We start from the raw sequence: 23725 nt of genomic DNA on the forward strand, positions 1-23725 counted from the left end.
TTCTGTGGATCTCATTCCTGTGTGACCTCACAATACAGTACGGATTTTAACTGAGACACATGGAAACATCAGGTGAGCCCCCCTCTCAGAGCAGCATCTCAGCTACCTGGGCCTGTGGTCACAGACCTTATAAGTTGGGGTGATTCATATCCACTCATATTCACAGCAACATTCACAATCCCAGGACTGCTCCCAGATCATCACAGTCTATTTCTGAAGGTGGTGACCCCAATGCCATTGCTATGGGGCATCCGGGAACGTATGTCCCTCCAGTGTCTGCTGAGCCACTGGTACATGCAACAGTTCCATTGTTAGGCAGCGGAATCCAGGGTAAATAAATTTAGACACACCAGCTCCACCACTGACTGGCTGAGTGGTCTTGGGCAAGATTACTTGCCTCAATATTTCTAAAAGTGTAAAATGTGGATAGGATATTATTATCTAGTTTATGGAGTTATTTTGAGGATTGAAATGAGATAATCCCTTGAATGTTAATTTCTTCCACTTGTTCTGGATGTGTTTAAGCCCTTAGTATTCAGGCAGTTGCAGCAGGGTTCATTTAATTTGGAAGAGAGGGAGGGAGAAAGAAGGGAAGAAAGAAAACAAATCAGAAAAGAAGAAAGAAGGAAGGGAGGAAGAAGGAAGGAGGAGGGAGGGAGAGAGGAAGAAAAGAAGGAAGAAAGTGAGAGAGGGAAGGAGGAAGGATAAAGGAAAGGAGGAAGAGAGAGGAAGGGAGGTAGAGATGGGAAATTTAAATTCTTTAGTTGGCTGTCTCATGGATCTACAGTCAGGAGTGGCTCTGGCTGTACAGATAAAGACTGTAAATTTAAGGGGCAATAAAAGGGAGGTGAATAGTATAAGTGATAATTGGAACCTGGGTTTGATTCCCAGATTATGGCAGGGAAGGTAATTGGCATTGATTGATCATCTATATCAAATTTGACCCTGTGTTTGACATTTTACCCACACTCTTTTCATACAGTTGGTGAGTTTCTAGGCTCTGATTTGAACGCAAGTTTCTATCTACATCTCTGATTTCACAGAGGTCAAGACCTAAGTTACTTTCCTAGTCTCCTTTGGCCTATTGGGTCTGTTTGTGTCCTGAGCGATGGACTGTCCACTTGTCTGGTTGTCAGCTTCCTCCCCAACAAGTTCTTGGGTACCCCCATGTCACAAGGCTCCAGAGAGGAGCTGTCAGATTTCCCACCCTGGGTGAGAAGATGGAGAAAGACCCTAAACATATCTTCATGTGCCAGGACCCACAGGCTCAAAGAAGTGCAGTCATTTCTTTGTTAAAAGCATAGCTGAGTTTGGGGTCTCTGTCTGCTTTGAAAGTACTTCTGGCTTCATGCGCAAAACTAATCATATATCCCTCTCCTGATCTTCCACAAAAGATAATAATTTGAGCTTCTATAGGCAAAGCAATTTTTGTTTACAAACCCTGGATCTAAAAAAGCATCAGGATTTCAAGTATTTTAATGTTTATGGGCCTTTGTCCTACTTATTCCCTCTGCCTGCTTAGTTTTCTCTTGTACTTTCACATCCCATCCCGCTAACCTGGTAAATTATTGTGGATTTTTTCAACATTATCCTAATAATCACCTTCTCCAGGGAGCCTCCCCTGATTATACTCTTCCATCCAAATGTGGGTTTGGGTCTGTCTTTCTGGGACTTCCATTATCATTATCATCACTCTGAGCATTAAGTACCTCTTTGAGCTTCTGTCCTCCTTAGTACACCAAGTTCCTCCAGACATACTCTATGGCTTGATTTCTATTCCCTAATACCTACCTATTCATGCTGAGATCTAAGGAGGTTCACCCTCCCAAAAATGGTCATACTCAAGTGGATTAATTAATCTGATCAAGATGTTGAGGTCCCATGGAATCCAAACAGCTCTAGCAATTCAAGCAATTGTTGTTAGAGGACTCCCAGCATGTTCTTATTAGGATGAGCACAGTTGAAACTCATTAGTATGTCCCATCCATACTCCCTGGAAAGGGAGTGAGATTTATTTAGAGCAGGCAGTTTAATCCAGCTTCCTTCACTACATTCATCTATAGCCATAGGGACTGAGAAGAAGGTCAGAAATTATCCCACGATTTAATCAATGCAAGAGCTAATCTCGGCACCTCAAATGAAAGGAACCACCTGTTCATCAGCAGCCCTTTTTTTGGTTATCATCACAGTTCATTCTGAAAGTGAAATTTTCCTTTTGTTCCTGTTTTCTTCTCCTTGGCATTTTACGGTGCTGTGAGGCAGCCCTTCTCAAATCTACATGCATCTGAGAATCAACCAGGGATTAATCAACCAGATTCAGTTAAAATACTGAACCTGATTCAAGAAGTTTGGGGACGGGTCTGAGATTCAGAGATTACAACAAGCTCCCAGGCTAAGCACTGCTGCTGCTGGTCCATAGAGCACACATTGAGTAGCAAGGGTATAGAGACACAGTTCTCAACCTCAGCTGTACATTTCAATTACCTGTGGAATTTGATAAAGGGTCCATTCCTGAGCCCTGTCTCAGACCATTTAAATCAAACTATGGATGAGGCCCAGGCATGGCATTTTTTAAAATCTCTTCTGGAAATTCCAACACATAGCCAAGGCTGAGAACTGTTGGCGTGGACCACAAAGTGTTCCCAAAATGTAATCACCAGAATAGCAGCTTCAGCATCAACTGGAAACTTGTCAGAAATACAAATTCTCAGTAAATAGATACACAAATTGTGGCCTACACAATGACTGAAATATTATTCAGCAATAAAATTGAGTGAAATACTGGTACATACTACAACATGAACAGATCTCAAAAACACTATGCTAAGTAAAAAGAAGGTCAACGAAAAGGATCATATGTTGTGTGATTCCAGAACAGGCAAATCTATAGACACAGAAAGTAAATTAATGGTTGCTGGGGACTAGGAGTGGGAACTGGGAGTGACTTCATAGGTACAAAGTTTCTTCCTGGTGTGATGGAAATGTTACAAAAATAGACTGCATTGATGGTTGTACAAATAGGTAAAATTTTTAAAAATTACTGAATCGTACACTTAAAATGGTTGAACTTTTTAATATGTAAAGTCTATCTCAATAAAAAATAATGTAAATGTTCTTGCCACACCCAGACATAGTAAATCGGGAGTGAGGCCTATCAATATGTGTTTATCAAGCCTTCCAGGTGACTCTGAGGCACACTCATCTTTGGGAACTCCTGGTGTGGAGTGGGAAGGTCTTCAGAGTTCCCTGCTGCTAGGGTAGGGACACTGGTAGGAGTTTTAGAATAGAACCACCAGAAAACTGCTCCAGGTCATTGCAAAGTGAAGGCAAAATAGCATTCCAGAAACAATTAAGAGTGTAGAATACAAGATTTCTCCTATTACTAAGAGATTTTTACTCCACTGTTTCTGGAATGCTACTTTATGAGAGTAATTTTCCCAGGCTGCCTTCTCTTAGCCTAGGTAGCCTAATCTGTAATGCGAATAAAAACAAATGCCTTTCAGGCTTATTGTGCAGATAAAATTAGGGACAAACATGAAAGCTCCCAACAGTAATAGACTCATATTGAGCACTTACACAGCATATAGTGAGGAGAATAACAGATATGGGTCTATTTTCCTTCACATAAACTGCCATGATTTTGCCTCTTCTGAGAAGCCCATTCTGGAGTTTTCTGTGGTACTGGGGAAGCTTTCTGCCACTTTATTTAGAATACTTTTTGTTTCCCCAGCAAATCCATATTATTCTGGATCTTTTCTCACCTCTCAGGTCTTACTTAAGGCTGCTTATTTTCCAAGATATACATACGTATTTGCTAAGCTGAAGAAAGCTTTAGGAGAATGCCCCGATTCAGTTCTATCCTCTTTGTTACTGCCAGAGAAGAAACAGCATTTTTGCCACAGAAATTGGCACCCCTGAAAAGACTCCTGCTCTTATCTTGGAGAGGAGAAATTGCTCTTTGCACTCCTTAATCTAATGGGTAGACTAAACATCACAGGAGAAGAATAAGTGCATGTTCCCCAAAGCCGTCCACAATATATACTAAGACAATCTGAGCTCAGCTCCAATGCAACAACAAGAAGTAGATAGAATTTGCCTCCAGTAGAATATATTTTAGGGTGACATATAGCACTTTATAGCAATTGAAGCTTATGTCAAGTTGTAATCAACTAATCATTAGTAATCATTGGTAATTCAGATGTGAATCAAGCTAATTTTCAGACAAACAGCCCTTCAGAAGGCCCCACTGAATTTCATGCACAGGTGCTTATGATGAGCAGCAGCAGCATTTGGACCCAGGGAGAAAGCCCTAGAGCTGTATGGTGGGGCAGTGAGACAAGGAAGCCATGGCTAAATTGCTAAACTCTCAGTCATCTTTTTATGCCTCTTCCCACCGTTAGGCAGCCCACGAAGAGACAGAGCCATTTTCTTCTTCCCTGAAGCTCTTTTATGCCCTTGAAAGGCATTCATTTCAATTGGCTTTGTCTTCCAGTTGCTCAGTTAATGTACCGTGATTCAAATGGAAAAGGCTTCATCCCAGCCAGTATAATTTGTCTGCCATCTATGTCCCATTATAAACTTCTCTAAGGATGTGTCTGTGTCTTGTCCACTGATGTGTCCTACACAGAGAATCCTGCACATTGCAGCAGAGCACTATGCACTTAACATGCTCTATTAACAGTTAATATTCACACTGCTCCTGTGAGGACAGTATTATTATCTACAATTTTTCAGGAAGTACATAGTAGAACTGGGGCATGAATCCATGCCTCTCAAACATCAAAGTCCATATTCTTCATTTGTTCCCTCTTTATCTCATTCCCTATTTGTATCTAGAAATAAGCAGCAAGTTTGCTGTCCTGGAACTTGACCCTCCAGTTTATCTCCTAGTTTCTGAGTTATTTGGGATAATAGAGATTTATAAGCCTTGCAAGTCCATGCAGTGACAAGAGAGCAAGTCTATGCTCCCTCCTTGCCGTTTTCTGAGGCAGCCCCAATTGTTTGAGCCAAATCCATCTCTGCCGAGACCTCTGAGTCCAGTTCTGCCCATAAGCTCTTTAAACAGCTTGCTCATCCGGTCTATAACAGTAAAAATCCCTGGTACGACAAGCCAGGAATTGCTTGAAATTCCAATTAAGCCAAGTTTTACCAAAGCCTTTTCCATTATCTCAGTAAGCTGCTTTCTACATTAAAAGGCTCCTCTTAATTAATTCTTTGTGCAGGTCTGTGGACATGCAATGCTTTATTATGACCCGTGAATTCAAAAGCAAGGAAATAAAGTGTAGATAAGCAGTACATTGAGCTCTTGCTATCAAATCAAAGCAGCATCATGGTGCCCTGTCGCTGGTCGTGGCTAATTGCTTTTCACATCAAAAAAGAAAGCAACCCTCAATGGACGGCTGCAGAAGACAGTAAAGGGCTCTTTCTGGTCTTTGGTATGAATAATGGCATCTCCTAAGGGGTTGCTTGTATAACTGTGTCACATCCTCCTCTAGACAGAAAACAGAGGCAGCAGAAAGATGACCCTCTATTTCCCATATTTCTAGCCCAGTAGTGAATGCAGATGAGGGGGTTGTTGCATGAATAAATGCATGTGGAGAGAATGTTTGCATGATGCTCACAGATTTCTGGCTTCTGACATCTTACCACCAGATGACTTCCTGTTGAGGGTTCCATCATAGAGCACCCATCCTACTGAAACTGGCTGCTTTTCTTGTATCTACTGTGCTCTGCCAGTCTCCGAGGTATCAAAAGCCACTGGTTTCAGAGGCCCAATCTCCCTCCAATGCAATCCTATGTAGAGATATTGAAGCAGTAGACCCCCTGTTTAGCTTAACCCAGTCTTGTTCAATGCCAAGTTAGAGGCTAAAAAAGTGGAATTGCTTCTATTGGGTATACAGGCTCAACCTGGTCCTCTGTGGACTTTGTGTTTCTCTGATCCTGTGATGTTTATTTTCCCTTTTCACTCACGAGTTCAACTTAACACATATTTTGTTTTTGTTTGTTTGTTTTAAATCACATTCCCCAGGATCTACTGCCAACCCCCGAAAAAAAAAATCCCTCTTACATTTTGCAATGTTTCCCCTTCGTGTAGTTGTTGCTCCAATGTTAGATTTGCCCAGACTCGAATTCTCTATGTAAAAGTCAAGGTCTCGCTGACTTAGACAGTTTCTCTGGGCAGAGAAGTCAAGGCAGGCAGTTCTGAATTTGGAGTTAAACAGGATCCTTGGGAACCAGGGATCTGGCTGCATGTGGTACTAGCAGGGTGAAAAAATGATAATGAGGAGGAGAAAGGGGAGTTTCAATTCAGTCTGACAACAGGTTTAGATTTTAAGTATGCTGGGATAAAGCTTTAACAAAATTGATACCATGCCCACAAATGGGTGCTACGATAAAATATGTTCAAAGTATCTATTTCTTTCTCTGGGGCTCAGGGCACTGAGCTATAAGAGGCTGGGTCCTTACTTGTAGTGTTTCATTATTCATTGTGCAGTATGAGCTGGCAACTGAATACAGGGTTGAGAGTTGTCAGAGTCACGTCTATTCTCCAGAGTGTGCAGATTGACAACCTTAGTTTTCATGAAGAAGACATTCTGAAGGTATTTCTAATTGCTTTCATTGAAAGCCATAAACAGAAACGACTATAGCAGATAAGGTGAGATGGCTTCTGGGAATAATATCTGCCTCTTAAGATTATGCTTGATTTATGGTTTTGCATTACTGAATTCTAGGGTTCTTCCTCCTACCTCTCTCTAAAAGCCATTTCTTTATCTCCATCCACACTGATAGATGGTTTAAGTTCAAGCAAAAGCCTTTTCTCACAGGGTATATTACAGCAGCCTCCTCTCTCACCCATTGCCCTACCAACTCCACGAAACGCTTGGCGCTATCCTTATAAAAAAAAAAAACTGACTGTGTCAAGCCCCTAAAAAACCCTACCATAGTCCCCTATATCCCCCTTTGGGGTGAAGACCACATTCCCCCATCATGGAGGTGGGAAGGTTGATGAGACACCACTCAGCACGAGGCAGGCATTCATGTTAGGGGACACCAAGCCCCGCTGCTCCCCAGCCTCCCCTCTCACTTGTCTGTCTCCTCCTCTCGTCTATGACTTTTTCCTTAATGTGTGTTGGCTTCCTCAGCATCTCTGTGTTTTGTTACTCCTAAAATGTTTTCAATTAGCTCATTTATGTCACCATCATTTATAAATAATTGCTTTAGGTCAGGTAATGCTGCAGGCTCTGAAGACACAGCCGTGAACCAGAGCAGCCACTGCCCTCATGGAGCTCACCTGGACAAGGAGGCGGGGGTGTTTTCATGGAAGGCAGCCAAGAAGGCTTCCTTGTTGAGCAGAGATCTGAAAAAGGGGAAGGCATGGGTCTTAAGGGACCAGCGTGGCTGGAGGAGGCAGTTGTGGGGAGAGAGGAATGTGATAAAGTCAGAGAGAGGTATAGAAGACATGTGGCCAAATATAAAGAGTTTTAATTTTATTTGCAGTAAAACAAACAATTACTGGAGGACTGTAAACAAAGAGGTAACATTGCTTGGGTTTTCCAAGGATTGTGTAGGCTGCTACATGGAGAGCAAGTAGACTGAAGGGGATATGGTGGAAAAAGGAAGGACAACGGGGAGACTATGGGGTGACAGTGGTTATGATATAGGTGGTAAGCAGCTGAATTCTGCGTATATCTAACTGGATTTGCTTGTAGATTGGATGAGTGGTATAGAGAAAGAGAAGAAGTACGAAACAAGGAAGAATTGTTCTAACATTCTTGGCCTGGATAATTCCAATAACCTAAATGGTAAATACTCAGAGAATAGCAAGGGGGAGGAAATACATATCTTTTCACACTGCTATCAAATATCCAATTCCCTTCCTTACCTGCCTGCCATCTCCACTACTTCCACCCCTCTGAGCTACTCTAACTAGAAGTTGTTCATTATCTGCAGCTCAACTCTGGGTTCCTGAAGCTTCCACCCACTGGTCCCAATTCCAGTCCAGGCACAGAATTCATCTAAGTCATGGTCCATTGTCAGTGGTGATGTCCCTCGTGGAACTTCCCTGAAGGCCATGCCTGACATCCTCAGCCTAGTCACTCCCTTTCATACTTTGTCCATCTCAGACACTTCCCTCTGAGTACTTCTAGTTTTTCTATATTCCCATTAAAACTGGTATTCAGGGCTGGGCGCGGTGGCTCACGCCTGTAATCCCAGCACTTTGGGAGGCCGAGGCGGGTGGATCATGAGGTCAGGAGATCGAGACCATCCTGGCTAACAAGGTGAAACCCCGTCTCTACTAAAAATACAAAAAATTAGCTGGGCGCGGTGGCGGGCGCCTGTAGTCCCAGCTACTCGGGAGGCTGAGGCAGGAGAATGGCGTGAACCCGGGAAGCGGAGCTTGCAGTGAGCCGAGATTGCGCCACTGCAGTCCGCAGTCCGGCCTGGGCGACAGAGCGAGACTCCGTCTCAAAAAAAAAAAAAAAAAAAAAAAAAAAAAAAAAACTGGTATTCAGGAGGAACAAAAACTACCAGGTGGAATTGAAAAAAGAATTCTAGAAAGACACCTCTCATTCTAGAATATTTATTTTTTTTCTAGAATATTTACTTTTTTATTTCTTAAAGAAGGATCACACCTTATCTACATTGCTGCCTGACCCTGTGCATGGTCTTGATCGATCATAACACATCCTCACTTCCATACCCTTCAAGCCAACATGAGCCCTCTTATATACTCCAGGGTGAATCACATCCTGTGTGACTCCCAGAGGCTTCCCATCAGTTCTGTCCTAGCTTAAGTCTCTACTACATTATGAACTACCTGGCCATTCTTGCCTCCTTTCTGTTCTTGTCACACACCTAACCATTGCTCTCCCAAGGTCTGACACCTACCACTCTCTTGGCGTCAAACTTTTCCATCAACACCATCCGTGATTGGTTTAGTCTCATCTTCTGGGTTTCATCTCTGCTATTACCTTTTCAGAGAAGCACACCTATCCTGACTACTTTATCTTAAGCAGTACCCGGTTACTTCCCACCTGTACATTCATAGAACCTATACCTATTTGTAATTGCCTTACTGACTTATTAAGTTATTTGTTCATTGGCTACCACCCCACCATAATGTAAGCCCACTAGGACAAAGGAGCATGTTTGTCTTGCTAAGTGCTGTATCATCAGCATCCCTAAGGCCTGGCACCTAGTAGGGTTGCCATGCTCTACAGGATGAGTGGAGGATTCTGAGGCATGTTAAAGTGCAATTGTAAAGGCCAAGGCACAGAAAGAAAATGAAAATTCACCTATCTCCAAATAAATTGCTGATAAAATTTTGTGCAAATCCATCTGAAACTTTTTTTTTAACAAAGCTGCTTTTCTTAAAAGATGAAAACATACCAAATATGATGATTCATAATTTTAAAAAATGTAGCATTAGATTGTGAGCATCACTCCTTAAGAACTAGTATACTAGTAACCATATAATGGTAATCATATTTTTCTATTAATATATGAATCACATTTGATTATTATATATGATATTTAAAATGTGATGATATGCTTAATGGTTGCCTTTTATTATATCATATTCATGTACCATAATTTAAATACAGTTTATTTTCAGATGTTTAATCTCCCCTTTCCCAATTTGGGAGTTCATAAATAATATTTCATGGAAGAAATTTTAACAAATTTATCTAAGCACCTATTTCTAATTATTTACCTGTCATATATACATAAAAGTAGATTTGCTGGGTTATTTTTTATTCTTTTACTTATTAACTTATGAGTTTTTTTAAATTTTAAGATTAAAGACCGCATTAGTCCATTCTCGCACTGCTATAAAGAACTACCAGAGACTGGGTAATTAATAAAGAAAAGAGATTTAAATGGCTCATGGTTCCACAGGTTGTACAGGAAGCATGATTGGGGAAGTCTCAGGAAACTTTCAATCATGGCAGAAGGAGGAAGGAGTCACGTCTTACATGGCCAGGCAGGAGGAAGAGAGAGCAGGCAGAGGTGCTACACACTTTTAAACAACCAGATCTCCTGAGAACTCACTCAGTATCCCCAGAACAGCAACGGGGATTGTCCCTATGATGCAATCACCTCCCACCAGGCCCCCCTTCAACACTGGGGATTATAATTGAACATGAGATATGGGGAGGGACACAAACCTAAGCCATATCAAAGACAGATTCTGTATGTCTTATGTATTGTCCTCAGTTTTCTGCTTCTACAATAAATTTCTAGTAAATTTTTTCCTATATAACTTTTCAATTTTGTTTTGTAAAATCTATTAACTTTTTTCTTAATGGATACTGCTTTTGATGCCATTCTTAGAAGGTTTCCAGAAGCTAATAATTAACATATATTTGCCATTATTTAATTTTGTTCATGCTTTTATCACTTAACTGTAATTCCAAAATTATTGTGTATATAGTAGAGTGAGCACTTAAATTACATTTTTCTCCAGTGATTACCAATTGCTTAATTTTAAAAACAGGCAATCTTTTCATCTTGTGATTAAAAAAGATTTCTATCATATATATTATCTAGAAACCTTGTTGAATATCTGGGCTTCCCTTTATTACTTGTTATTATAGTTTTCTATATTGGTTATTATATGTTTTATAGCTTAATGGTCCCAAAGTTTTGCATCAGTTTGATGCTAGTTTCATATAGTTCATTGAAGTTTGCATTAGCCTCTTATTCTTTGATAGCTCAAATAGCATTGGATAAAATTCTTTCAAAGAACAATCTAGCTTGAACACTTATTTTTGAGGTGGTTCTTTGACAATTTTTATCATTTCCCATCACAGCTAATAATCTTTTTGCTCTTCTAAGTTTTTTTAAAAATAGATCTTGGTAATTTGTATTTTTTTAGAAAATTTTTCATGCACCAACAATTGTATGTTATCAAGCTTGAAATGACATATTCAATTCTGTAGTTCCATTGGAATTGTTTCACTTATTCTTACATCTGTGGGTATATCCTATTTTACATATATAATGTTATATATTTTGGGGTTTTTATTTTTGTCATTTTTACTACTACTAGAGACATATACGTATTATTGTTCTTTTCTAAGAATCAGGTATCAGAATGCTCAGTTTTGTTTCATCTTATTCTAATTCACTAAGTCTTGTCCTTATTTTCGTTATGTTTCCTACGTTTTTCTAGGAAGTTTTTGTTGTTACATTCTTGTTTCTAGAATTAAAAATTTGTTTCATTAGTTTCTTCTTATTTAATAATACTAAATAATTAAGCATGTGAATTTCTTGAATATAGCTTTGTGTGAGATAATTTTTTAGCTATAGTGCTAGCTTGACACTAACTTTGAAAAAAATATTTAAAGATAACTTTGTTCTCTGCTTTAATCAAGAGTTAAAAAATGTTTGGAGACTTTTGGTGAATTTTCTCTTATTTAGTTTTAAATATGTTAATCATCTTTATACTTATAATTATTAAGTGGTTATTTTATCAAAATGTGTTATTTAGTATTAAGTATTTGGTTTGTTTGCATTATAATTTGTCAATTTTGACAGAATTTCTACTCCTGAGTTAGTGAGATTCTTTTTTAGTATTGGTTATGATTTACCTGTGTAAATATACTGTTGGCATCAAAAATGTCTTTTCCATAAGTGTATATTTGATATACATGTATTAATGAAACATTAATTAAGGAAGCCCTCCATATAATTTAAAGAAATTGTTCTCAATGTGTCAAAGACAGAAATTTGTTTTGGACTGTCACTATAATTATGTTATTATCAATTTCCCTTTCATCTTCTAACAGTTTTTAAAATATTATTCAGTGATTTATCATTCAGTTCATAAATGTTGTAGCTCTGTTGTGAATTATTCCGTTAAAATATGAAGTACACTCAGTATGTGTGTAGACCTTTGCCCATACATTCTCGTTTGTCTGAGGTTAATCCTGCTGCATCTGCTTTCTGCATTCCATTTGCCTGATCTACTACTGCTCTTCCCTCTGAATTTTCTGTTTCAAGCCTGTCTGCAAATAGCTTTTATTCTAATTTGCGTTTGTGTTTTGAACATGTGTGAGACATCACCTTTAATAATTTACGTTATTTTTATAGCTTAAATGTTTTGATTTACTTCAATTCTCTTGTAATTCCTTGTATTTTTCTTTTTCTTTTCATTCTTGATTTTTTTTTCAACTGCTTTGGAAGTAGTAGCTTTCATAGGTAAATTAATAACTTTGTTAAGTTATTTCATCCAATTAAATAAAAATCAATTTGATCCAGTATGTGGGTAAATGTCATGGTCTGGGAATGTAAAAATGGCCTGGGTTTTTCCCTTTAGAAACTCCCTTGTTATATAATACAGTCACTACAAATACCCCTTGCAGCACCAAGGGAATGATGGTCTCCATGCTCAACCTCACTTATTTTACCTTCCTTCTGCCCACTCTATTTTCTCTTGTGTACCAGATGATACAATATTGAAGCAGCTATGTTGTCTAGGGTATATCCCTGGGGTTTGTTGTTGTGCGCCAGAAAAATTTAGGACACGGACATATGTGAGGAGTTTAGGAGCTGAGGTTTAACAGATAGAAGAGAAGAGAAGGAGAAAACAGCTTCCTCTATAGAGGAAGGGGCCTGTCTCCCAGTGGAAAATACCGGCTGGCGACGAATTTGCCGAATTTTATAGTCCACTTTGAGGAGGCAGTGTCTAATTTAAATAGGGCTCATAGATTGGTTGGATCAGTTATGAGGTTTACATAATGGAACCACCATTTTGAACATGTCTAGTCCTTAGTTCCTGCCTGCATTCACCCGTGCAAGCTCCCAGCTTGCTTGTCTATGTCTGCAGCTGAACTTCACAGGCTGCGCTTTGTTAGAAAATGATGTGGGGCTGCTTTTCATTAAAAAGAAAAGCCTTAATGAGGACTCCCTTGCTATCTGCCTAAGTGATTTCTTCTTGACTCCTATATCAATGGCATTATTATTTTAACCTGATATTTAAAAAATTAAGTCTATACAAAAGCTTTAAGAATAGTAAAATGGACATACACATACTCTTTTCTTCGATTGACCAAATAGTATTTTTACATTTGCTGTGTGTGTGTGTGAATCATTTAATAATAAGAGATAATTATAATGACCTTTAATTCCTAAATTATTTGCACAAGTTTCTCAAGAATAAAGACGTTATTTTATATAACCACAGTGCAATTATCAAATAGTGGAAATTCAATATTAATAAATTATTCTTACCTAATATACAGCCAATGTCTGAATGTTGCTAATTTTTCCAATAATGTCTCTTAGCAAAAAATAAAATCTTTTTTTCTAATAGGCACCACCGTAGCCAACTGATTGAAGCTAGCATTATCACTATTGGGACAAAACTGTATCACATGCCTCTTGATATGATATACTATGAAAGATGCTACATCACTTTGATGATATCCTGCCAAAAATGCATAACCTGAATCTAATCATGAGGAAACATCAGAAAAACCAAGTTGAGTGAAATTCTACAAAATAATTGGTCTATACTCTTCAAATATGTCAAGGATAAAAAACACAAAGAAAATATGAGAAACTAATCCAGATTAAAGGAGATTTAAAGGACCAGACAATTAAGTGCAAAGCATAACTCTGAATGGAGATGGAATAAAAGAACTCTAAGGCAGAGGTTGGCAAACCAGTTCTGTGAAGAGCCAGATAGTAAATATTTTAGGCTGTATGGACCATATGGTCTATGTTGCAACTTTTCAACTCTGTGATTATAGTGTGAAAGCAGCCATAGACAGCACGTAAACAAATGGGTTTGGTTTTGTTCCAATAAAACCTTATTTGAAAACAGATGGTGGGTGAGCCATAGTTTGTAGACCCTTGCTTTAAAGAGCATTATTGGCACAAGTGACAAAATTCAAAATGGACAGAGGATTAGATAATGGTTTTTGCTTTATCAGTGTTACATTTCCTAGTATTGGAGTGAGGGGATAAGATGGCCAATTAGATGCAGCCAGGAAGTGTCACTTCCACTAAGAGAGACCAAATAATCAAGTAACCTATCATAATTTGGGCAGGTGTTTGGAGATAAAACACTGAGAGTGGATAGAGACGCAAAGCTGAAGCCCAGGATGAAGAGAGAAGAAGCCGAGAATCCTGTGCAGGGTGCCTGAAAGCCAGGGCTAGTTCCTGGCCCCTAAGGGCTCCTGGGAAAGGGGAGAGTGAGGGAATTGAGGGGTGGCACATTCTCACTGCAGACGTAAGAGACCCTAGCTACAGAGGACCCTGAATCTCCCATAGATGTGTGACCTGGTAAAAGGATCTCCCCAAGGAGCAGGCAGAGACAGGCCTTTGAATGGCATGGAAACCAATATCTTTTGTGTGCTGGACAGCTCCAGAGGAAAGAGGCCATAGATACCCAATCCCCAGGGATTCCCATTCCCCTCCAGGGGGTGTGGGCCTCAGCTGACCTCTGAGCCAGGAAAGAGCAAGGTCAGCTTCCCATAGGAGCATCTGTTCTGCAAGCCCTCCTGCCCACTGGCTCCTCCCAGGGTCCATACCAAGCCACCCTGTAGAAATGGGTGCACAGCACAGCCCCTGCAGTCAAGCCTGAGTGTGTTGTTGCATCTAGGTATTTTCCCAGTGACCCAGGAGCACATTAAATCCCCCAGCATAGCCAGAACCTAAACTTGAGCAATGGAATGTCCGGGAGCCCTGAGGGCAGCAGTGTACAGCTTGGAAGTGTAGAGTTGAGATCTGTGGCTGTCAATCAAGTGGGGGAGGAGCCTCCATTCTCAGAGCACTTAGAGGGATGAAATGCATGGGTCCCTAGTCCAGGGCAGGAGCAGGATGTGCCTCCCTCCACAGGACCTGTTCAGAGAAGGTGTGGTATATCTCCTTGCCACAGCTTCTGCCCAAGGGGTTCCTGCAGCCCAAAACACCTTACCAAAAAAAATGTGAGTGCAGTGGCAGTGATAGGAGGAGCAGACCTGGATGAAGGGGCCATCTCTCTTTCCCCATCCACTGCAGAGCATGCCTGCAAACACAAGGAAGTACAAAATAGCCCCGTGGCTGTGTATTAACCTATCTACAGGTTAATATACCAGTAAATGGTACCCTTAATTACCATTTACTCTATCAGAGCCCAAACTATAGTACCAAAAATTTATCCCATTAATAATACACACCCATGAAACCAAGTGCAACAATTCACCTACACATAAAGATTCTGTACAGAGCCATAGCCCTTTGAAAGCATCCAGAAGTGAAGCCAATTGACTATACTCAAATTACATCATAATTAAAGGAATATCAACCCTTCCAGATGCGAAAGAATCAGCACGAGAACTCTGGCAATTCAAAAAGCCAGCGTGTCCCCTTACCTCTAAATGATCACACGAGCTCCAAAGCAATGGTTCTTTATTAGTCTGAAATGACTGAAATGACAGACATAGAATTCAAAATGTGAATTGCAAAAAAATTCATTGAGATTCAGGAGAAAATTGAAACCCAATCCAAGGAATCAAAAGAATCCAGTGAAATGATCCAGGAGCTGAAAGATGAAATAGCTGAAAGAAGAAATGTTAAGAAAGAACGAAATTGGACTTGTAGAGATGAAAAAATCCCTACAAGATTTTCATAATACAATCATAAGTATTAGTAACAGAATAAACCAAGTGGAGGAAATAATCTCAGAGCTCGAGTACTTGTTCTTTGCATCAACTCAGTCAGACAAAAATAAAGAAAAAAGAATTAATAACAATGAAAGAAAACTCCAAGAAATGCAGACTTATGTAAAGAGACCAAATCTATGACTCATTGGCATTCCTGCGAGAGATAGAGAAATAATGAGCAACTTGGAAAATATATTTGAAGATATAGTACACAAAAAATTTTCTAATCTCTCTAGAGATGTTGGCATGCAAATCCAACAAATACAGAAAATCCTAGCTAGATACTATACCAGATGACCATCCCCAAGGCACACAGTCATCAGATTCACCAAGATCAATTCAAAAGAAAAAATCATAAAGAGAACTAGAGAAAAGGGTTAAGTCACGTACAGAGAGAACACAATCAGGCTAGCAGCAGATATCTCAGCAGCTCTCTCTGCAGAAATCTTATAAGCCAGAAGAGATTGGGAGCCTATTTTCAGTGTCCTTAAAGAAAAGAAATTCCAACCAAGAATTTTATATTTTGCCAAACTTAGCTTCATAAGTGAAGGAGAAATAAAATCTTTTTTTGACAAGCAAATGTTGAGGGAGTACATTTCAACTAGACCAGCCTTACAAGAGGTCCTTAAGGAAGTGGCTAAACATGAAATCAAAAGAATGACACCTGCTATCATGAAGTCACACCTAAGCTCATAGCCCACAGGGACTATAAAGCAACTATGCAATCAAGTCTATATAACAACCAGCTAACAACATGAAGACAAAATCAAAAACATACTTATCCATACTAACTTTGAATGTAAATGAACGAAATGCCCCACTTAAAAGACAGAGTGGTAGGCTGAATAAAAATACAAGACCCAATCATTTATTGTCTTAAAGAAACCCAACTCACATGTAATAAAACCCACAGACTCAAAAGGAAGAATGGAGAGAGATCTACTGTGCAAACAGAAAACATTAAAGAACAGGAGTTGCTATTCTTTTGTCAGATAAAACAGACTTTAAACCAGTAAAAATTAAGAAAGACAAAGAAGGGCATTATATAATGATAAAGGGTACAATCCAACAAGAAACCTTAACTAACCTAAATATATATTGCACCCAAATTGGAGCATCCAGATTCATAAAGCAAGTTATTTTTGGCCTGTGAAAAGACTTAGATAACCACATAATAAGAGTAGGAGACTTAAGCACCCCATTGACAGAATTAGGTAGATGGTTAAAGGCAGAAAACTAACAAACTCTGGACTTAAACCTGACATTTCACCAATTGGATCTAATAGACATCCAGAGAACACTCCACCCAACACTCACAGAATATACACTCTTCTCATCTACACACTGAACGTATTCTAGGTTCAATTACATATTCAGTCATAAAGCAAGTATCAATAAATTTAAAAAATTATACCAAGCATGCTCTTGGACCACAGTGCAATAAAAATAGAAATCAATGTCAAGACAATGCCTCAAAACTACAGAAATACATGCAAATTCACAAGTTTCTCCTGAATAACTCCAAAGTGAACATTAAATTAAGGCAAAAATAAAAAATATTTGAAATTAATAAAAATAGGGACACAACTTACCAAAATCTCTGAGATGCAGCCAAAGTACGGTTAAGTGGAAAGTTTATAGCCCTAAATGCTTTCATCAAGAAGTTAGGAAGATCTCAAATTAACAATCTAACTTTTTACCCAACGTAACTAGGAAAGGAAAAAAAGAACAAGCCAACTCCAAAAACTAGCAGAAGAAGAGAAATAACTAAAATTAGAGAAGAACTTAATGAAATTGAGATGCAAAAATCTATATAAATATCAATGAAACCAATAGTTGATTCTTCAAAAAAATAAATAAGATTGATAGACCCTCTAGCTAAATCAGCAAAGAAAAAAAAAGAGAAGACCCAAATAAATACAATTAGCAATGACAAAGATAATATTACAACTGATCCCACGGAAATACAAAAGGTCCTCCAAGAATTCTATGAACAACCCTATGCACACAAATTGGTAAATCTAGAGGAAATGGAAACACACAGTCTCCCAAGATTGAATCAGGAAGAGACTGAAACTCTGAAAAAACCAATATCAAGCTCTGAAGTTGAATCAGTAATTTAAAAATTCTACCAACCAAATAAAGCTTTGGACCAGGTGGATTCATAGCCAAATTTTACCAGTCATACAAAGATGAATTGATACCAATTCACAGATATCTCCCACTCTACTGGTACCAATTGACTGTATTAGTCAGTTTTGGAATGGCTCCTGATGAAGCCATTCCAAAAAAAAAAAAAAAAATGAGAAGGAGGATCTCCTCCCTAACTCATTCTATGAAGCCAGTATCAACCTAATACCAAAATCAGGCAGAGAGACATAACAAAGAAAGAAAACTTCAGGCTAATATCCCCAGTGAACATACACACAAAAGTCCTCAACAAACTGCTATCAAATCAAACCCAGCAGCACATCAAAAAGTTAATTCACCATGATCAAGCAGGCTTTATTCCTGGGGTGCAAGATTGGTTCAACATACACAAATTAATAAATGTGATTCACTACATAAAGAGAATTAAAAGCAAAAACAATACGTTCATCTCAGTAGATTCAGGAAAAGCTCTTGATAAAATCCAACATACCTCAAAATAATAAGTGCCATCTGTGAAAAGTCCACAGCCAACATCATATTGAATGGGCAAAAGCTGAAACCACTCCCCTTGAGAATGAGAATAATGCATGGATGCCCACTCTTACCACTCCTTTTCAACATAGTACTGGAAATCCCAACCAGAGCAATCATAAAAGAGAAAGAAATAAAAGGCATCTGATATAGTTTGGCTGTGTCCTCACCCAAATCTCAACTTGAATTGTATCTCCCAGAGTTCCCACATGTTGTGGGAGAGACTCAGGTGGAGGTAATTGAATCATGGAGGCTGGTCTTTCCTATGCTATTCTTGTGATAGTGAATAGGTCTCAGAAGACCTCATGGGTTTATCAGGGGTTTCTGCTTTTGCTTCTTCCTCATTTCTCTTGCCACTGACATGTAAGAAGTACCTTTCACCTCCCACCATGATTCTGAGGCCTCCCCTGCCATGTGGAACTATAAGGCCAATTAAATATCTTTTTCTTCCCAGTCTCAGGTATGTCTTTATCAGCAGCATGAAAACTGACTAATACAGTCAATTGCTACCAGTAGAGTGGGGCATTGGTGAAAAGATATCCAAAAATGTGAACGCTACTTTGGAACTGGGTAGCAGGCAGAGGTTGGAACGATTTGGAGGGCTCAGAAGAAGACAGAAAAATGTGGGAAAATTTGGAAGCTCCTAGAGACTTGTTAAATGGCTTTGACAAAAATGCTTATAGTGATATGAACAATAAAGTCCAGGCTGAGGTGGTCTCAGATGGAGATGAGAAACTTGTTGAGAACTGGAGCAAAGGTGACTCTTGTTATGTTTTAGCAAAGAGACTAGCGGCATTTTGCCCTGGCTTAGAGATTTGTGGAACTTTAAACTTGAGAGAGTTGATTTAGGTATCTGGCGGAAGACATTTCTGAGCAGAAAAACATTCAAAATATCACTTGGGTGCTGTTAAAAGCATTCCATGTTAAAAGAGAAACAGAGCATAAAAGCTTAGAAAATTTGCAACCTGACGATGCAGTAGAAAAGAAAAACCCATGTTTTGAGGAGAAATTCAAGCCAGCCACAGAAATTTGCATAAGTAGCAAGGAGACTAATGTTAATCCCCAAGATCATGGGAAAAATGTCTCCAGGCCATGTCAGAGAACTTCACGGCAGCCCCTCCCATCACAGTCCCAAAGACCCAGGAGGAAAATGTGGTTTCGTGGGCTGAGCCCAGGGTCCCTGTGCTGTGTGCAAACCTAGGGACTTGGTGCCCTGTGTCGCAGCCACTCCAGCTGTGGCTGAAAGGGGCCAATATAGAGCTCAGGCTGTGGCTTCAGGGGGTGTAATTCCCAAACCTTGGCAGCTGTCACGTGGTGTTGAGCCTGTGGGTGCACAGAAGTCAAGAATTGAGGTTTGCTGCACATAAAATTAAAAAAAAAGAAAGGAAAAAAAAAAGAATTGAGGTTTGGGAACCTCTGCCTAGATTTCAGAAGATGTATGGAAACGCTTGGATGCCCAGGCAGAAGTTTGCTGCGGGCGCGATGCTCTCATGGAGAACCTCTTCTCAGGCAGTGTGGAAGGAAAATGTGGGGTCAGAGCCCCCACACAGAGTCCCTACTGGAGCACTGCCTAGTGGAGCTGTGAAAAGAGGGCCACTGTGCTCCAGACTCCAGCTTGCACCTGCACCTGGAAAAGCCACAGATACTCAATGCCAGCCCATGGAAGCAGCCAGGAGGGAGGCTGTACCCTGCAAAGCCATGAGGCAGAGCTGCCCAAGACCATGGGAACCCACCTCTTGCATCAGCATGACCTGGATATGAGACCTGGAGTCAAAAGAGATCATTTTGGAGCTTTAAATTTTGACTGCCCTGCGGGATTTTTGACTTGCATGGGCCCTGTAACCCCTTTGCTTTGGCCAGTTTCTCCCATTTGGAATGGCTGTATTTACTCAATACCTGTACCTCCTTGTATCTAGAAAGTAACTAGCTTGCTTTTGATTTTACAGGCTCATAGGTGGACGGGACTTGCCTTGTCTCAGATGAGAATTTGGTCTGTGGACCTTAGGTTAATGTTGAAATAAGTTAAGACTTTGGGGGACTGTTGGGAAGGCATGATTGGTTTTGAAATGTGAGGACATGAGACTTGGAGGGGGCGGGGTGGAATGATATGGTTTGGCTGTGTCCCCACCCAAATCTCAACTTGATTTGTATTTCCAAGAATTCCCTCGTGGTGTCGGAGGGACCCAGGGGAAGATAATTGAATCGTGGGGGGCAGTCCTTCCCATCCTTTTCTCGTGACAGTGAATAAGTCTCATGAAATCTGCTGGGTTTATCAGGTGTTTCTGCTTTTGCTTCTTCCTCATTTTTCGCTTGCTCCCACCATGTAAGAAGTGCCTTTTATCTTCCCCTATGATTCTGAGGCCTCCCCAGCTATATGGAACTGTAAGTCCAATTAAACCTCTTTTTCTTCCCAGTCTTCAGTATGTCTTTATCAGCAGCGTGAAAACGGACTAATACAGCATCCAACTAGGAAAAGAAGGAGTCAAACTATCTCTCTTTGGTGATAATGTGATTCTACACTTAGAAAATTCTTAAGACTCTGTCAAAAGGCTACGGGAACTGTTAAACAATTTTATTATAGTAAGGTTGCAGGATAAAAAAAATCAATGTACAAAAATCAGTAACATTTCTATACACCAATAACATTCAGGCTGAGAGCAAAATCAAGAACACAATCCCATTTACAGTAGCTACAAACAAAATGAAATATCTAGGAATACAACTAACCATGGAGGTGAAAGATCTCTACAATGAGAGTTACAAAGCACTGCTAAAAGAAATCTGAGATGACACAAATAAATAAAATAACATCCAATGCTCATTAATTGGAAGAATCAATATTAAAATGGCCCTACTGCCAAAGCAATTTACAGATTCAAAGCTATCACTGTCAAACTACCGACAACATTCTTCACATAATTAGAAAAAAACTATTTTAAAATTCATGTGGAACCAAAACAGAGGACAAATAGCCAAATAAATCCTAAGTGAAAAAAACAAAGCCAGAGGCATCATACTACCTGATTTCAAACTATACTATAAGGCTATAGTAACCAAACAGCACAGTACTGGTACAAAAACAGACAAATAGACCAATGGAACAGCATAGAATATTCAGAAATAAAGCTGTACACCAACAACAATCTGATCTTTGACAAGGCCAATAAAAACAAGAGATGGAGAAAATACTCCCTATTCAATAAATGGTGTTAAGATACCTGGCTAGCCATTATGCAGAAGAATGAAACAAGATGCTAACCTTTCACCATATACAAAAATTAACGCAAGATGGATTAAAGATTTAAATATGAGACCTCAAACTATAAAAATCCTGGAAGAAAATTCAGGAAATTCACTTCTCAACATTGGCTTAGCAAAGAATTTATGACCAAGCTCCCAAAAGCAACTGAAACAAAAAAAAAAAAATTGACAAGTGAGACAAGAGTTTTGCACAGCAAAAGAAACCATCAACAGAATAAACAGACAGCCTACACAATGGGGGAATATATTCACAAACTATACATCTGATAAAGGTCTAATATCCAGAATCTAAGAGAAACTGAAGTAAATCAACAAGTGAAAAATGACCTCATTACAAAGTGGGCAAAAGACATGAACAGACACTTTTCAAAAGAAGACAGACAAGTTGCTAACAAATATCTGAAAAAAAAATGCTCTTCACTAATCATCAGAGAAATGCAAAATGAGATACCATCTCACACCAATCAGAATAACTATTATTAAAAAGTCAAAACAATAGATGCTGGCAAGGTTGCAGAGAAAAGGGAACTCTTATACACTGTAGGAATGTAAATCAGTCCAACCACTGTGGAAACCCGTTTGGAGATTTCTCAAAGAGCTTAAACAGAGCTACCATTGGACCCAGCAATCCCATTACTGGGTATATATCCAAAAGAAAGTAAATCATTAAACCAAAAAGTCACATGCACACGTATGTTCATCACAGCTCTATTCACAATAGCAAAGACATGGAATCAACCTAGGTGCCTATCAATGGTGGATTAGATAAAAAAAATGTGGTACATATATACCATAGAATACTATGCAGCCATAAGCAAGAATAAAATCATGTCCTTTACAGTAACATGGATGGAGCTGGAGGCCATAACCCTAAATAAATTAATGAAGGAGCAGAAAACCAATTACCACATGTTTCACTTATAAGTGGGAGCTAATCATTGAGCACCCATGGACATAAACATGGGAACAACAGACACTGCTGACTACTGCGCAAGGAGTGTGGGTTGATAGACTACCTATTGGGTACTAGGCACACTACCTAGGTCCAATATACCCATGTGACAATTCTAAACATGTACCTCCTGTGTCTAAAATAAATGCTGATATTAAATAAATCAGCAAATTTCATAATATTGATAACAGCATGATGATAATAATGCAGAAAATGTCCTTCTTAAGAGATTACACACACACGCACACATATACACAGAGGTATAGAGGGAAAAATGTAGATAAATAGATGGATAAGTAGATTGATATGGTTTGGCCATGTCCCCATCCAAATCTCATCTTGAATTGTAGTTCCCATGATCCCCTCATGTCATGGTAAGGACCTGGTGAAAGGTAATTGAATCATGGGGGCAGTTACCCCCATGCTGCTATTCTTGTGATAGTGAGTGAATTCTCAAGGTCTGATGGTTTTATAAGTGGGTTTTCCCCCTTTGTTCAGCACTTCTCCTTCCTGCATCATGTTAAGAATGACATGTTTGCTTCCTCTTCTGCCCTGATTGTAAGTTTCCTGAGGCTTCCCCCAGCCATGTGGAACTGTGAGTCAATTACGCCTCTTTTCTTTATAAATTACCCAGTCTTGGGCAGTTATAGCAGTGTGAGAACAAACTAATACATGTATGATAGCTTGGTAGGTAGATAATCTTACCTATATCTTTATCGAATCTGTATCTTTTCTTTTACTAATCCAGGCTGTAACTCAGGGCCATGCCTTTCATGCAGTCTCCTCTAATTGGGAACAGTTTCTCCTCTTTTCTTTCTCTTTCATGATTTTGACACTTTTGAAGAGTCGAACTATGTGTTTTTGTTTTTATAGACTATTCCTCAATTTGTATTTGTCTCATGATTACACCCAGGCAATGCATTTCTAGTAGCACTACTGTAGAAGTGATTATCTGCCCTACTCAGAAAATCCCACCAGGAGGCACATAGTGCCTATTTATTTTCTTGTTGGTGAAGTTTACATCTGTCACTTGGCAAACATGGATTTTCCAGGCTTCTCCACTGTAAAGAAAACTTGGTTCATCATTCTCAATTTACTATTTCCAAATTTCTTCAAACAACCTTCATAGTGATATCTGACATGTTCCTCTGTTCATAGAAGCCATCACCTTTTGCGT

General features: G+C 39.3%; 1 long non-coding RNA gene across 2 annotated transcripts; it reads left to right on the top strand.

Annotated features, from left to right (window-relative positions):
- The first annotated feature begins 2 nt into the window (after positions 1 to 2).
- On the top strand, positions 3 to 13832 carry LOC105378402 (uncharacterized). 2 transcript variants are annotated; one of them, XR_001747302.1, is made up of 2 exons: positions 3 to 72; positions 13319 to 13832. It is a non-coding gene; the product is annotated as an uncharacterized LOC105378402 (long non-coding RNA). The 2 variants fall into 2 exon arrangements; XR_946152.2 differs by lacking the exon at positions 3 to 72 and adding an exon at positions 98 to 330.
- Positions 13833 to 23725: the final 9893 nt, after the last annotated feature.

This window comes from Homo sapiens, chromosome 10 (assembly GCF_000001405.40).
Source record: "Homo sapiens chromosome 10, GRCh38.p14 Primary Assembly".
Taxonomy (NCBI): Eukaryota; Metazoa; Chordata; class Mammalia; order Primates; family Hominidae; genus Homo; species Homo sapiens.